This window comes from Homo sapiens, chromosome 19, assembly GCF_000001405.40.
Source record: "Homo sapiens chromosome 19, GRCh38.p14 Primary Assembly".
Taxonomy (NCBI): Eukaryota; Metazoa; Chordata; class Mammalia; order Primates; family Hominidae; genus Homo; species Homo sapiens.
This window is the reverse complement of record NC_000019.10, coordinates 40,376,863-40,392,425: the sequence shown is the minus strand read 5'-3', so window position 1 is coordinate 40,392,425 and position 15,563 is coordinate 40,376,863. Positions and strand designations below refer to the sequence as shown.

General features: G+C 55.0%; 2 protein-coding genes across 4 annotated transcripts in view, besides 2 other annotated features; one reads left to right on the top strand and one right to left on the bottom strand.

Moving 5' to 3' along the window:
- Positions 1,793 to 2,342: an enhancer, noted in NCBI's record as "H3K4me1 hESC enhancer chr19:40895991-40896540 (GRCh37/hg19 assembly coordinates)". NCBI's record gives its function as "activates a minimal SCP1, AML or CMV promoter by ChIP-STARR-seq in primed H9 embryonic stem cells {active_cell/tissue: H9 hESC(primed)}" and the evidence as "EXISTENCE:reporter gene assay evidence [ECO:0000049][PMID:30033119]".
- On the top strand, positions 2,245 to 13,155 carry HIPK4 (homeodomain interacting protein kinase 4). Its single transcript, NM_144685.5, has 4 exons — positions 2,245 to 2,988; positions 8,287 to 8,643; positions 11,258 to 12,103; positions 12,657 to 13,155. The coding sequence occupies exons 1-4, from the start codon at positions 2,524 to 2,526 to the stop codon at positions 12,837 to 12,839; spliced, it is 1,851 nt and encodes a 616-aa protein (NP_653286.2). The 5' UTR covers positions 2,245 to 2,523; the 3' UTR covers positions 12,840 to 13,155.
- Positions 2,343 to 2,892: an enhancer, noted in NCBI's record as "H3K4me1 hESC enhancer chr19:40895441-40895990 (GRCh37/hg19 assembly coordinates)". NCBI's record gives its function as "activates a minimal SCP1, AML or CMV promoter by ChIP-STARR-seq in primed H9 embryonic stem cells {active_cell/tissue: H9 hESC(primed)}" and the evidence as "EXISTENCE:reporter gene assay evidence [ECO:0000049][PMID:30033119]".
- The window catches only part of PLD3 (phospholipase D family member 3), a 29,791-nt gene continuing 28,168 nt past the window's right edge, over positions 13,941 to 15,563 (bottom strand). For all 3 annotated transcript variants that reach the window (NM_012268.4, NM_001031696.4, NM_001291311.2), the window contains exons 12-13: positions 14,541 to 14,640; positions 13,941 to 14,440 (exon numbers count right to left, since the gene is read on the bottom strand). In NM_012268.4, coding sequence (NP_036400.2) covers positions 14,253 to 14,440; positions 14,541 to 14,640 — 288 coding nt within the window. In that variant the 3' untranslated portion in view covers positions 13,941 to 14,252. The remainder of the gene's footprint in view (positions 14,441 to 14,540; positions 14,641 to 15,563) is intronic.

The following is a 15,563-nucleotide window of genomic DNA, read 5'->3' as shown; positions in this document are numbered from 1 at the left end:
CTTCCCCACACCTCTCTCTCCCCGTGCTCCTTGGGCACCGGAGGTTCCTCCCGGGCCCTTGTCCACCCCCACACCCTCCCTAGGGTGCATCACCCTCCCCCATGGCTTCCACGCCTCCTCTCTGTGCTGACAACTCCCAAACTCTCTCCTGCATCCCCTTGGGGACCCAGCAGCTTCTGCACCCCTTCTCCAGAGGTCTCCTGGTTTTTAGGAGGTTGTGTGGGTGGTGGTTCAGAGTTTGGCGCTGGAGCCAGGCTGCTTAGGGTCAGAGGCTGTCTCTGGCAGTCACTTGAGTGACCTTAGGCATTTTATTTTATCATTTATTTATTTATTTTTATTTTTTGAGACAGAGTCTCACTCTGTTGCCCATGCTGGAGTGCAGTGGTGCAATCTTGGCTCACAGCAACCTCCGCCTTCCAGGTTCAAGCGATTCTCATACCTCAGCCTCCCGATCTCAGCCTCCCAAGTAGCTGGAACTACAGGTGTATACCACCATGCCCAGCTAATTTTTGTATTTTTAGTGGAGTTGAGGTTTTGTCATGTTGGCAAGGCTGGTCTCAAACTCCTGACCTCAGGTGATCCGCCCACCTTGGCCTCTCAAAGTGCTGGGATTACAGGCGTAAGCCACCACTCCTGGCCAGGCACTTTAAAAACTTCTTTGTGCCTTGATTTTCTCTTCCATAAAATCCCTACTTTGTATGTTGTAAGGATCAGATAAGACTTCTAAAGAACTTCATCCTTGTTTAAATGTTTTGATGTTACATTTTCTTTTACTTTTTTTTTTTTTTTTGAGACGGAGTTTCACTCTTGTTGCCCAGGCTGGAGTGCAATGGCGCAATCTTGGCTCACTGCAACCCCACCTCCCGCGTTCAAGCAGTTCTCATACCTCAGCCTGCCGACCTCAGCCTCTTGAGTAGCTGGGACTACAGGCATGTGCTAACACACCCGGCTAATTTTGTATTTTTAGTAGAGACGGGGTTTCTCCATGTTGGTCAGGCTGGTCTCGAACTCCCGACCTCAGGTGATCCACCTGCCTCAGCCTCCCAAAGTGCTGGGATTACAGGCATGAGCCACCGAGCCCGGCCCGCTGTTAAATATTCTAATCTGGCTGGAGTGGTGGCTCATGTCTACAATCCCAGCACTTTGGAAGGTTGAGGCAGGAGGATCACTTGAGGCCAGGAGGATCACTTGAGACCAGCCTGGACAACATAGTGAGACCCCATTTCTACAAAAAATTAAAAAGATAAATAAAAATGAACACTTTTTTTTTTTTTTTGAGATGGAGTCTCGCTCTGTCACCCAGGCTGGAGTGCAGTGGTGCAATCTCGGCTCACTGCAACCTCCACCTCCCGGGTTCAAGCTATTCTTCTGCCTTAGCCTCCCGAGTAGCTGGGACTACAGGCGCCCTCCACTATGCCTGGCTAATTTTTAGTATTTTTAGTAGAGACAGAGTTTCACCGTGTTAGCCAGGATGGTCTCGATCTCCTGACCTTATGATCTGCCTTCCTTGGCCTCCCAAAGTGCTGGGATTACAGGCGTGACCCACCGCACCCAGCCAAAAATAAATACATTTTCTAATTTGGCCTCAACATCTCCCCCAAGCTGCTTCTTATCCATGTCCATTTCTCGGGGACTGCCCCTTCATCCCAGAGCCCTAGGCCCGTTCTTAGACAGCTCCCGCCTTTCCCTCAAACCGTCGGTCTCACGGCTGCTTCTCCTGGCCTTTTGAGTGTCTCATCCATTGGCCTCGCCCTCTCCTCCCCAACCTCTCCCATCTGTGCCCTGTCCTGGACTCTTTCCCTGGCTTGGGGCTTCCACTCTTACCCGCTCCAACCTATCCCTTTTCATACAGTAACTTTCTGACACTCATATCTGACCCTGCCCTCCCCTGCTCAAAGCCCTTCTGTGGCTCCCCAGTGCCCTCAGAACAGAATCCAAACTCCTTAGCCTGGCATTCAGGGCCTTTTACAACCTCACCCCACAGTAGCCACAGACTGGGACAGGAGTTTTCTGAACACAGACACACACACATCACATCTCCCAAGCTCAAGAAGCCCACCTTTCCTCACTCCTGCCTTATCCCCATTCCTGTATGCCCAAGGCCCACGATTAGACCCCCCTCTGTCAACACTTCACCTGTTTGGTCTTTGCAAGATTCCGCCACTGGGCGGGGGAGGGGGCCCAGCCTGGTACCCCACCCCCACTCCAGCCAGGGCTCAGGTCTCCAACAACAGAACCAGAGCCACTCAACAGCGCTGGAACCCATTCGGTGGGGCCTGGGGCCCCTCATCCCAAGCCAGGAGGGTTTCTGGGGAGGGGTGCAGCCCCTGGCAGACTGACAGTGTGGCCTGGGGGTTTGGGGGTGCCAGGGAAGCAGGGGCCAACCTCATAGGAGGAGACACGAGTGCGGTTCTCTTTCCCCCACTGGGGGGCCTGCTGTGTCAGCAGCCAGGCGGGAGGCCTGGGCGGCAGAGCCAGTGGTACAGGGGCCTGGGCAGGGCGGTGTCTGGCAGCAGCGGCACCATGTCCACCATCCAGTCGGAGACTGACTGCTACGACATCATCGAGGTCTTGGGCAAGGGGACCTTCGGGGAGGTAGCCAAGGGCTGGCGGCGGAGCACGGGCGAGATGGTGGCCATCAAGATCCTCAAGAATGACGCCTACCGCAACCGCATCATCAAGAACGAGCTGAAGCTGCTGCACTGCATGCGAGGCCTAGACCCTGAAGAGGCCCACGTCATCCGCTTCCTTGAGTTCTTCCATGACGCCCTCAAGTTCTACCTGGTCTTTGAGCTGCTGGAGCAAAACCTTTTCGAGTTCCAGAAGGAGAACAACTTCGCGCCCCTCCCCGCCCGCCACATCCGTACAGTCACCCTGCAGGTGCTCACAGCCCTGGCCCGGCTCAAGGAGCTGGCTATCATCCACGCTGATCTCAAGCCTGAGAACATCATGCTGGTGGACCAGACCCGCTGCCCCTTCAGGGTCAAGGTGAGTAGGGGTCGTCTAGGGTGGCTGCGTCCCTAGTTCCTTGTCTTTTTCCCAGCTTCTTCCAGCCCTAGATTTTTTTTTTAATTTTTTAAAATTATTATTATTATTATTTTTGAGACGGAGTTTCATTCTGTTACCCAGGCTTGAGTGCAGTGGCACAATCTCAGCTCACTGCAACTCCGCCTCCTGGGTTCAAGTGATTATCCTGCCTCAGCCTCCCGAGTTGCTGGGATTACAGGGATGCGCCACCACGCCCAGCTAATTTTTTTTTTGTACTTATCAGAGACGGGGTGATGATGGCATGATCTTGGTTCACTGCCTCCGCCTCCCGGGTTCAAGCGATTCTCCTGCCTCAGCCTCCTGAGTAGCTGGGAATACAGGTGCCCGCCACCCATGCCCGGCTAATTTTTGTATTTTTAGTAGAGATGGAGTTTCGCCATGTTGGCCAGGCTGGTCTCAAACTCCTGACCTTGTGATCCACCTGCCTCAGCCTCCCAAAGTGCTGGGATTACAGGCGTGAGCCACCACGCCCAGCCAATTTTTGTGTTTTTTGGTAGAAACAGGATTTCATCATGTTGCCCAGGCTGGTCTCAAAGTCCTGAGTTCAAGCAATCTGCCCACCTTGGCCTCAACAAAGTGCTGGAATTACAAGTGTGAGCCACCATGCCCAGTCCTCTGTCTGCTTTTGAGTTTGATACTGTCTGGATGCTTCTGAACCAGGGGCACCCTGAGGGCAAGGCTGGGGCTGACTTAATCATCGCTGTGTCCCTGACATCTCCCAGCACTGCAGTCATGGAGCCAGTGCTAAATGAATGCTTGCCAGAGACACAGAGACAGAAAAAGGTGGATTATTCTGCCCCAAGAGGTGGAAGGACAGAGACCCAGGGAAGCAGGGACTTCCACAAACACAGCAGGGGACAGACAGGACGGATCCACAGCACCTGGCCGGCATTATCACCCCCACTGTCTCTGTGGAAGGAATGAATTCATTCCACAAACATAGACTAAGTGCCCAGGGTCACTCAGCCTCTTGGGTACTGAAGCCCTGGCACTCTGGGATCAGAATAGCAATTAATAACCATTTCATGATACTGCTTTCTGCAAGTGAAAGGTGAGGGATGGCCAGGTGCGGTGGCTCACGCCTGTAATCCCAGCACTTTGGGAGGCCGAGGCGGGTGGATCACCTGAGGTCAGGAGTTCAAGACCAGCCTGACCAATATGGTGAAACCTCGTCTCTGCTAAAAGTATAAAAATTAGCCGGGTGTGGTGGCGGGCACCTGTAATCCTAGCTACTCCAGAGGCTGAAGCAGATAAATCGCTTAGAACCCGGGAGGCAGAGGTTGCAGTGAGCTGAGATTACGCCACTGCACTCCAGCCTGGGCGACAGAGGAAGTCCCTCTGTCTCAGAAAAAAAAAAAAAAAAACTAAACTAAAATTAGCTAGGCGTGGTGGCACATACCTGGAATCCCAGTTAGTTGGGGGGCAGAGGCAGGAGACTCACTTGAACTTGGGAGGCAGAGGTTTTGCAGTGAGCTGAGATCACGCCACTGCACTCCAGCCTGGGCGACAGAGCTCGACTCTGTCTCAACACAAAACAAAAACAAAAAACTGAGAAATGGCTGAATGAAAAGCAGAAAAACTCAGAGAAGGAAACAGGCTGGCCAGGTGTGGTGGCCCAAGCCTGTAATCCCAGCACTTTGGGAGGCTGAGGCAGGTGGATCACCTGAGGTCAGAAGCTCAAGACCAGCCTGGCCAACATGGTGAAATCCTGTCTCTATTAAAAATACAAAACTTAGCCAGATGTGGTGGGGTGCACCTGTAATCCCAGCTACTTGGGAGGCTGATGCAGGAGAATCGCTTGAACCCATATGGGGGCGGAGGTTGCAGTGAGCCGAGATCATGCCGCTGCACTCCAGCTTGGACAAAAGAGTGAAGCCACCTGAAAAAGAAAAAGAAAAAGAAACAGGCCAAGAGAGAGTCACGGAGATTCAGGGTGAAAATGGCAGACAGCTCCACCAGAGGCATGGGGAGAGACAAAGGCTTTCGGCCATTCGCAATGTTGGTTCCGCAGCTGTTGGCCAAGCACCTGTCATGTGTCAAAGGCCTGTGACGAGTGTGAACAGTGCCTGAAGAGGAAGACAGAAGAGGACCGGGACTTCAGGGAGGTGTCTTCCTAGTGGACGACACAGAGACAGAGATGGAAAGAGAGAGAGAGACACTGAGAGACAAGAGACAGGCAAGTGATGGAGAGGCAGTTGCAAAGAAAGAACGAGAGGTACAAATGGCCAGGCACAGTGGCTCATGCCTAGAATCTCAGGACTTTGGGAGGCCGAGGTGGGAGGATTACTAGAGCCCAGGAGTTCAAGACCAGCCTGGGTAACATGGTGAAAACCCATCTCTACTAAAAATACAAAAATTAGCTGGGCATGGTGGCATGTGACTGTAGTCCCAGCTACTTGGGAGGCTGAGGCAGGAGAATCGCTTGAACGTGGAAGGTGGAGGTTGCCTTGAGCCGAGATTGCGCCACTGCATTCCAGCCTGGGTGACAGGGTGAGCCACTGTCTCAAATGAGAGACAGAGAGAGAGAGATACAAGCAAGAGATGGAAAGAGAATGAAGGAACTCAAAGCCCATACATACATTCATTCATTCACTCATTATTTACTGAGCCCCTGCTGTGTGCCAAGCCCTGTTCTAGGCATCTAGGGATACAGTATTGAACAAAATGGATAAATTCTTTGCCCTCGTGGGACTGACATCCTCGCTGGGGAGAGAAATGCTGAGAGAGGCCAGGTGCAGGGCCTCATGCCTATAATCCCAGCATGTTGGGAGGCTGAGGCAGGAGGATCACTTGAGCCCAGGAGCCATCCTGGGCAACATAGTGAGACCCATCTCTATCTCTACAAAAAGTTAAAAAATTAGCTGGGTATGGAGGTGCATGCCTGTGGTCCCAGCTACTCAGGAGGCTGAGGCGGGAGGATCTTGTGAGCCCTGGAGTTCGCGGCTACAGTGAGCTACGATGGTGCCACTGTACTCCAGCCTGGGTGATAGAGCAAGACCCTGTCTCTAAAAAGGAAAAAAGGGCTGGGCGCCGTGGCTCACGCCTGTAATCCCAACACTTTGGGAGGCTGAGGCGGGCAGATCATCTGAGTCAGGAGTTTGAGACCAGCCTGGCTAACATGGTGAAACCCCGCCTGTCTCTACCAAAAATGCAAAAGATTAGCGCTTGTAATCCCAGCTACTCAGGAGGCTGAGGCAGGAGAATCACTTGAATCCAGTAGGTGGAGGTTGCAGTGAGCCAAGATCACACCACTGCTCTCCAGCCTGGCCAACAGAGCGAGACTCCGTCACAAAAAAATAAATAATTAAAAAATAAAATTAAAATAAAAAATTAAGAGATATAGTGTGTGAAATGGCATTAAGAGCAATGGTGGACCTGGGTGCGGTGGCTCACGCCTGTCCTAGCACTTTGGGAGGCCGAGGCGAGTGGATCACCTGCGGTCAGGAGTTCGAGACCAGCCTGGCCATCATCGTGAAACCCCGTCTCTACTAAAAATATAAAAATTAGCTGCGCATGGTGGTGTGCACCTGTAATCCCAGCTACTTGGGAGGCTGAAGCAGGAGAATCACTGGAACCTGGGAGGAGGAGGTTGCAGTGAGCCAAGATTGCACCATTGCACTCCAGCCTGGGTGACAAGAGCAAAACTCTGTCTCAAAAACCTCCGACTCAAAAAAAAAAAAAAAAAAAAAAAAAAGAAAAGAAAAGAAAAAGAAAAACAGGGGCCTGGCGGGGGATAGAAAGGATGGGGACTGATGGCTGATGCTTTCACAGAATGATTAGGGAAGGTCTCACTGAGAAGGTGATCATTTTTTTTTGTCCTGCCTTTCACCTTTTGATAGAAAGGTGACATTTGAGTAAAGACCTGAAGGAGGTGAGGCAGGGAGCCCTGTGCTCATGCAGGGAAGAGCATTCCAGGCAGAGGGAACAGCGAGTGCAAAAGCCCTGAGCTGGGAATGTCTGACTTGTTCAAGGAATAGTGAGGAGACCCTTGTGGCTGGAGGAGGGTGAGTGATGGGGAGAGTGGGAGATGTGGCAGAGAGGTGACAGAGCAGACATTGGAGACCTGTGGGCCACGGTGAGGACTTTGGCTTTTGTCACAGGATGTGGCTATGAGCAGGGGAGGACCCAATCTATCCCGGGCGGCCACAGGATCCCTCTGGATGCTTGTGACAGACAGACTAGGGGGCAGAGGAGAGGAGCAGGGAGACCAGCGAGGAGACCCCCGCGTTGGTCTAGGTTGGAAAGGATGCAGGATAGGACCAGGGTCGGGGCTGTGGATGGCATGCAGAGGGAGCAGATTCTAGATCTGTTGGCTGATGGACAAGGTGTGGGGTGCAAGAGGAAGAATAGGGTCCTAACCCTCCTTTGCATAGTTCTAGTGGAGAGAAACAGAGACAGAGTCAGTCACTCGAACCAGACACAAAGGCTGGAAGAGACAGAGATAGGGACTTAACAACTACGGCCACAGCTGGGTGCGGTGGCTCATGCCTGTAATTCCAGCACTTAGGGAGGCTGAGGAGGGCAGATCATCTGAGGTCAGAAGTTTAAGACCAGCCTGGCCAACAGGGTGAAACCCCGTCTCTACTAAAAATACAAAAATTAGCAGGGCATGGTGGTGTGCACCTGTAGACCCAGCTATTCAGGAGACTGAGGCTGGAGAATCACTTGAACCCAGGAGGCAGAGGTTGCAATGAGCCAAGATTGCGCCACTGCACTTTAGCCTGGGCGACAGAGTGAGACTCGGTCTCAAAAAAAAAAAAAAAAACCAACAAAGGCTGGGTGCGGTGGCTCACGCCTGTAATCCCAGCACTTTGGGAGGCCGAGGCGGGTGGGTCACATGAGGTCAGGAGTTCGAGACCAGCCTGGCCAACATAGTGAAACCCCATCTCTACTAAAAATACAAAAAATTAGCCGGGTGTGGTGGTGGGCGCCTGCAATCCCAGCTACTCAGGAGGCTAAGGCAGGAGAATCGCTTGAACCGGGGAGGTGGAGGTTGCAGTGTGCTGAGATCGTGCCATTGCACTCCAGACTGGGCAACAAGAGTGAGACTCTGTCTCAAACAAACAAACAAACAAACAAACAAAAACCAACAAAGCAACTAAAGAATCACAGACCCAGAGATGGCCAGAGTCAAATAGCAGATGCAGGAAGATGCCAGGTGAAAGATGCCGGGGTGGCCCAGCTCGGCTGTCCCTGCTGCTTGACCTGCCCACTCGCCCTCTTCCCCACCCCCGACAGGTGATTGACTTCGGATCCGCCAGCATTTTCAGCGAGGTGCGCTACGTGAAGGAGCCATACATCCAGTCGCGCTTCTACCGGGCCCCTGAGATCCTGCTGGGGCTGCCCTTCTGCGAGAAGGTGGACGTGTGGTCCCTGGGCTGCGTCATGGCTGAGCTGCACCTGGGCTGGCCTCTCTACCCCGGCAACAACGAGTACGACCAGGTGCGCTACATCTGCGAAACCCAGGGCCTGCCCAAGCCACACCTGTTGCACGCCGCCTGCAAGGCCCACCACTTCTTCAAGCGCAACCCCCACCCTGACGCTGCCAACCCCTGGCAGCTCAAGTCCTCGGCTGACTACCTGGCCGAGACGAAGGTAAGGGAAAAGTTGGGTGAGGGCAGTCAGTGTGGGGGCTGTTACATGAAAAAAAATTCTAGGGTGGGCAACGTGGCTCACACCTGTAATTCCAGCACTTTGGGAGGCTGTGGTGGGAGGATCCCTTGAGCCTAGGGGTTTGAGACCAGCCTGGGGAACATAGTGAGACCTCCTCTTTATAAAACATGGAAAAAAAAATCAGCTGGGCACGGTGGTATGGGCCTATTGTCCCAGATACATGGGAGGCTGAGGCAGGAGAATTCCTTGAGCCTGGGAGGTCCAGGCTACAGTGAACTATGATCATGCCACTACACTTGAGCCTGGGTGACAGAGCAAGACTCTGTTTCAAAAAGAAAAATCTATCAGACCAGAAGAATGGAGTGAAAAGAACAAAAAACAGAGGCTGGGTGTGGTGGCTTACGCCTGTAATCCCAGCACTTTGGGAGTCCGAGGTGGGTGGATCACGAGGTCAGGAGTTCAAGACCAGCCTGGCCAAGATGATGAAACCCAGTCTCTACTAAAAACACAAAAAATTAGCTGGGCGCAGTGGCAGACGCCTGTAATTCCAGCTACTCGGCGGGCTGAGGCAGGAGAATCGCTTGAACCCAGAGGGCGGAGGTTGCAGTGAGCCGAGATCCCACCACTGCACTCCAGCCTGGGCAACAGAGTGAGACTCCGTCTCAAAAAAAAAAAAAAAAAAAGAAAGAAAAGAAAAATATTTTTTTCTTTTTTTTTTAAGACGGAGTCTTGATCTGTTGCTCAGGCTGGAGTGCAGTGGTGCGGTCTCAGCTCACTGCAACCTCTGCCTCCCAGGTTCAAGAGATTCTCCTGCCTCAGCCTCCTGAGTAGCTGGGCTTACAGGCACCCACCATCACACCCGGCAATTTTTTTGTATTTTTACTAGAGACGGGGTTTTACCATGTTGGCCAGGCTGGTCTCAGACACCCGACCTCGTGATCCACCCACCTCGACCTCCCAAAGCAGTGAGATTACAGGCATGAGCCACCGCGCTCGGCCAAAAAAATATTTTTTTAATAATTGAAAAAAAAAATTTCTGGGCTAAACCTCAATGAGGACTGGAACTTGGGGGTCAGCCTAGGGCATTTTCACAGCAAGAAAGAGCTGCATGAGATCAAATGTGGGACTGGTCAGCAACTGCAGCAAGATAGATCTGGGGGAGAAACTGCAGGGAGAATTAGATGTTTGGAAGTCAGATGTGGGGGCTGCTCTAGCAAGAGAGATCTGGGTCATACTATAAGTGTGACAGGACGATTGGGGCAGCTTCTCTGCCAGCTTCAGCTCCGGGGTCAGCAACTTGTGTGGCAAGAGGGATTAGACCACAGAGAATATATGAGGTCTGAGATTGGCTATGAGAATTGCGAGAGAGGCCAGGTGCAGTGGCTTATGCCTGTAGTCCACGCACTTTGGTGGGGGCCAAGGCAGGAGGATCACTTGAAGTCATTGTGGGCGACATAGCAAGACCGTGTCTCTAGAAAAAATTTTTTTTAAAATTTAGCCAGGCATGGTGGCACACACCGGTAGTTCCAAGCTACTTGGGAGGCTGAGGTGGGAAGATCACTTGAACCCAGGAGTTGGCAGTTGCAGTGAGCTATGATTGCACCACTACACCCCAGTCTGGGCGACACAGCAAGACCCTGTTTAAAAAAAAGGATCTAAGGCCAGGCACAGTGGCTCACACCTGTAATCCCAGCACTTTGGGAGGCCGAGGTGGGTGGATCACCTGAGGTCAGGAGTTCGAGAACAGCCTGGCCAACATGGTGAAACCCCATCTCTACTAAAAATACAAAAATTAGCTGGGCATGGTGGTGGACACCTGTAATTCCAGCTGCTCAGGAGGCTGAGGCAGGAGAATCGCTTGAACCTGGGAGGTGGAGGTTGCAGTGAGCCGAGATTGTACCACTGCACTCCAGCCTGGGCAACAAGAGTGAAACTCTGTCTCACACACATACAAAAAAAAAAAAAAAAAAAAAAAAAAAAGGATCTGAGTGAGACCTCAGGTGAGTCTAGAGGTTTGGGGCAGCAGCCAGTCTGCTACCTCTGTGGCTTTGCCCCTCCCATCTGTGCAGCAAGAGCCTGGGTTAGACAGCAGAGGGGACTAGGAGTTTGAGGTCATAGGTCTTGATTTCACAGCAAGAAGGGTCTGGATGGGACCACAGGTGAGACTAAAAGTCAATGGCAGTTTAATAGCAGGGGGTGACAAACTACTATAGCAAGAAGGGTCTGGGTTTGACCACCAGGAGGCCTGGGATCAAGTGTGGAGCTGTGGCAGTAAGAGGGACCTGGATTTGATTCCAGGGAGGACTAGAGATTCCGGGCAGCCCTTCTGCTAGCTGCTGGTAGGGGCTGCACCCATGGTGCTGAAGGGGACTGGAGGTCTGGGGCAAGGGGTGGAACTTGGGCCAGTGATTTGGGTTCGATTAGAGGGGCTTGGGTGTGACGGATCCAGGGTGGCCCTCCTAGCAGCCAGAGAGCTCCAAGGCAGATCATGGGCAGACCTGGAAGTCGGGGCTACATGTGGGTGCCACAGCAGGAGTGCCCAGGGCCCTAGCCCTGCACAATGGTCAACCCTGCCCCCTTCTCCATGCCCCGCCAGGTGCGCCCATTGGAGCGCCGCAAGTATATGCTCAAGTCGTTGGACCAGATTGAGACAGTGAATGGTGGCAGTGTGGCCAGTCGGCTAACCTTCCCTGACCGGGAGGCGCTGGCGGAGCACGCCGACCTCAAGAGCATGGTGGAGCTGATCAAGCGCATGCTGACCTGGGAGTCACACGAACGCATCAGCCCCAGTGCTGCCCTGCGCCACCCCTTCGTGTCCATGCAGCAGCTGCGCAGTGCCCACGAGACCACCCACTACTACCAGCTCTCGCTGCGCAGCTACCGCCTCTCGCTGCAAGTGGAGGGGAAGCCCCCCACGCCCGTCGTGGCCGCAGAAGATGGGACCCCCTACTACTGTCTGGCTGAGGAGAAGGAGGCTGCGGGTATGGGCAGTGTGGCCGGCAGCAGCCCCTTCTTCCGAGAGGAGAAGGCACCAGGTATGCAAAGAGCCATCGACCAGCTGGATGACCTGAGTCTGCAGGAGGCTGGGCATGGGCTGTGGGGTGAGACCTGCACCAATGCGGTCTCCGACATGATGGTCCCCCTCAAGGCAGCCATCACTGGCCACCATGTGCCCGACTCGGGCCCTGAGCCCATCCTGGCCTTCTACAGCAGCCGCCTGGCAGGCCGCCACAAGGCCCGCAAGCCACCTGCGGGTTCCAAGTCCGACTCCAACTTCAGCAACCTCATTCGGCTGAGCCAGGTCTCGCCTGAGGATGACAGGCCCTGCCGGGGCAGCAGCTGGGAGGAAGGAGAGCATCTCGGGGCCTCTGCTGAGCCACTGGCCATCCTGCAGCGAGATGAGGATGGGCCCAACATTGACAACATGACCATGGAAGCTGAGGTGAGCCGGGTGCGTTCAGGATACGATTAGGGTGGGAGGAGGCTCAGCACACACTCACCCGTGCTCAGGATATGATTAGTGTGTGAGGAGGCTCAACACACACTCACCCATGTTCAGGATACAATTAGGGACTTAGGAGGCTCAGCACACACCTAATACCGTCAAGATATGATAAGGCTCAGCACTTACTCAGCTACTTCCAGGCTGTGACAAAAACTCAGGGCACAGTAATCTACTTATAAGAAGCTTGATAAAGAGCCTGGGCAACATAGTGAGATCCCGTCTGCACCAAAAAATTAGAAATATTAGCTGGTTTTGGTGGCATGCACCTGTAGTCCCAGCTACTCAGGAGGCTGAGGTGGGAGGATCACTTGAGCCAGGGAGGTCGAGGCTGCAGTGAGCTGTCATCACATCACTACAAAGGGGCAATAAAGGCCCAGCACTGGTAAGACCCTAGCACATGCTCACCCTCATCAGGAGGAGGTGACAGAGGCTCAGCAGACACTAATACACTAACACTGCTTGGCTGATGCCCCTCTCTCTTCCCCCACAGAGGCCAGACCCTGAGCTCTTCGACCCCAGCAGCTGTCCTGGAGAATGGCTGAGTGAGCCAGACTGCACCCTGGAGAGCGTCAGGGGCCCACGGGCTCAGGGGCTCCCACCCCGCCGCTCCCACCAGCATGGTCCACCCCGGGGGGCCACCAGCTTCCTCCAGCATGTCACCGGGCACCACTGATGGTGATTCCACCCCTGCCCATCACTGGGGGCTGCGCTAGCTGGGCTGGCATTCCCTCCCAACCTGAACTGCTCCTCAGAGCCATCTCCTGAACCCACAAATTATTCTTACAGAAAGATAGTTATCCAGAAATTCTCATTCCCCGTCTGCGGTGCGGTGCGTGCCTGCACACCTCTCCTAAACACAGCAGGGCTTTGGAGTCTGGCCCATGCTCCTTGGCCAGAAGGACAGCAGGAAAGGGGGCTGCACCCCGCTGGCCCTGCGCTCGCCCTTGGCCCTGCTGCCTCTGTCTATTTCAATATAGAACTGTTCAGCAGTCCTGCTTCAAGCCTGCTCTCACTGCCTGGGGCTTGGACTGGCCCTGGGGGGAATGGGGGCTCCAGGCTGGCACCCAGTGACTTGCTCTGCGATGCTGGGCCCAGTTGACCACTGGCTTAGGCGGGAGCCTGGGCTGCTGTCACACTAGGAGGGAAAAGCTGTGCTTGGTTGACTAACCCTTGTCCTAAATACGCTATGTGCTTGGCGTGTTGGGAATCCACCCTCAGAACATGCTGTGTTCAGTATGTGTTAATCAAGTTTGCCGGATGCTGGGGTCTCCTTGTCTGTTGACCTGTCCTTCCTACATGTTTACAGGGTTGGCATGCACTCACCCACATTTGGGACGTGCTGGGTGTAAATCCACTTGGCAGGCCTAAATTCACACTTGGTGCACACTCTGGTGCTCAGCCATGCTTGTTCACCCTTGGGATGTGGCAATGGTTTGGTCCCTGCTGATCAATCTGGGAACATGCTTCTCTGCAGCACATACCCATGCTGGCTACATGAGTGCTAAGTCCATGCCGGGCCACAGGGTGGCACGCTGCATGCTCAGCACAGGTCAGCCCATGTACACTACATGTTAAGGGCTCAGCACATGCCAACCCATGCCAGCACATGCTGAGGGCTCAGTACATGCTAACCCACACTGGTCACACACTGAGGGCTCAGCACATGCCAGTGACATGTTGAGGGCTCAGCACAAAAAGATGTCCCCACCAGAGGCCCATGCCAGCTGTCCCCTACCCCTGCACCCCATCTCACACCACTCAGTCAGGCACAGGCTGTACAGACAAGTTATTTACTTATTATAACCCTGGGCCCTTTTTGCCCTGGAAAGTGGGGGTGGGCCAGGGGGCCAGGCCCAGCATGCACCCCCATTTCTTTGGGGGCTGATCCCTCCCCCAGCTCTGCTGGGTCCCGGGGCCACAGCGTCAGGCCGGTGGGGGTGGAGGTAGAGGTGGGAGAGCAGGGGAGAGAGCCTGAGGAGCCACAATGGGGCAGACAGAAGCGGGGGCGCGGGGACAGGGACCGTGACCCAGAGCACCTGGGTCCGCGGGGGCCCAGCAGGCCTTGGCCTGCCCACTGGATCGGGCCTCAGAGCAGGCGGCAGGCGTTGCCCACGCTGTCAGCTGAGGTGTCAAGGTCATGGCTGTAAGGGGAGTCCCAGTCCCTCAGGAAAATGGCCTCCAGCTGGCTCCGCAGGCCGCCCCTCCCATTCTGCGTCACCAGCAGCGAGGTGCCCGCCGTCTCCGTGAAGTAGTTGCCAGACCAGTTGGAGGTTCCTAGAGAGGAATGGGTGGAGCATAAGGGCACCCTCGGGGGGCCGCCCCTGGTGTCTGAACCCCCTCTTCTTCAGCGCCCCGTGGTGCTCAAGACACTCACCGATGTAGGTGGCGCGTTCAGTCACCATGTACTTGTTGTGGTTGACACGGGCATATGGGATTCGAGCCTGGGCCTCATCCGCGGGGACCACAAAGAGTTTCTGAGTGGGAGGGGAGGATGGGAAGGAGTGTGAGAGGCAGGGGGAGTCGGAGGAGCCCCGGGATCAGGGAGCAGAGTGTGGAGCGAGATCTGTGGGACTCCACTGCTTCCCACAGAATCCTCGGGGGCCAGAACAGGGCCAGGTGGAGGGGCCCTCTGAGAACGAAAGCTGAAAGGGAGGCCCCGGTGGTCTCATTTGCAAAACACTGTTCCCGGCAGAATGGCTCCTGTTCATTCCTGAGGTCTCATCTCAGATGCCCCCATTTCCAGAACATCTTCCTTGGCCCTTCCCGCTAGGGCAGAGGCTTCCTCTGGGCATCCCCACCCCAGCCCTGACCCCTCTGCCTGTGCCCCCCGACCCTGGCCCTGACCCCTCTGCCTGGGCCTCCTCCATCCCAGCCCTGACCCCTCTGCCTGTGCCCCCCCATCCCAGCCCTGACCCCTCTGCCTGTACCTCCTCCATCCCAGCCCTGACCCCTCTGCCTGTGCCCCCAACCCCAGCCCCGACCCCTCTACCTGCCCACTCCCCCAGTCCTGGTCCCAAACCCTCTCTCTGTGCCCCCCACCCCAGCCCTCACCCCTCTGCCTGGGCCTCCTCCATCCTGGCCCCGACCCCTCTGCCTGTGCCCCCAACCCTGGCCCTAACCCCTCTCTCTGTGCCCTCCAACCCGGCCCCGACCCTTCTGCCTGTGCCTCCCCATCCCAGCCCTGACCCCTCTGCCTGTGCTCCCAATCCCAGCCCTGACCCCTCTACCTGCCCATGTCCCCATTCCTGGTCCCAACACCTCTCTCTGCACCCCCATCCCGGTCCCAACCCCTCTGCCTGTGCCCCCTCATCCCGGTCCTGGCCCCTCTCCCTGTGCCCCATGACCCTGGCCCTGACCCATGGTTTCCCCACAGTGACAGGGCTCACTCTGGGCTGCC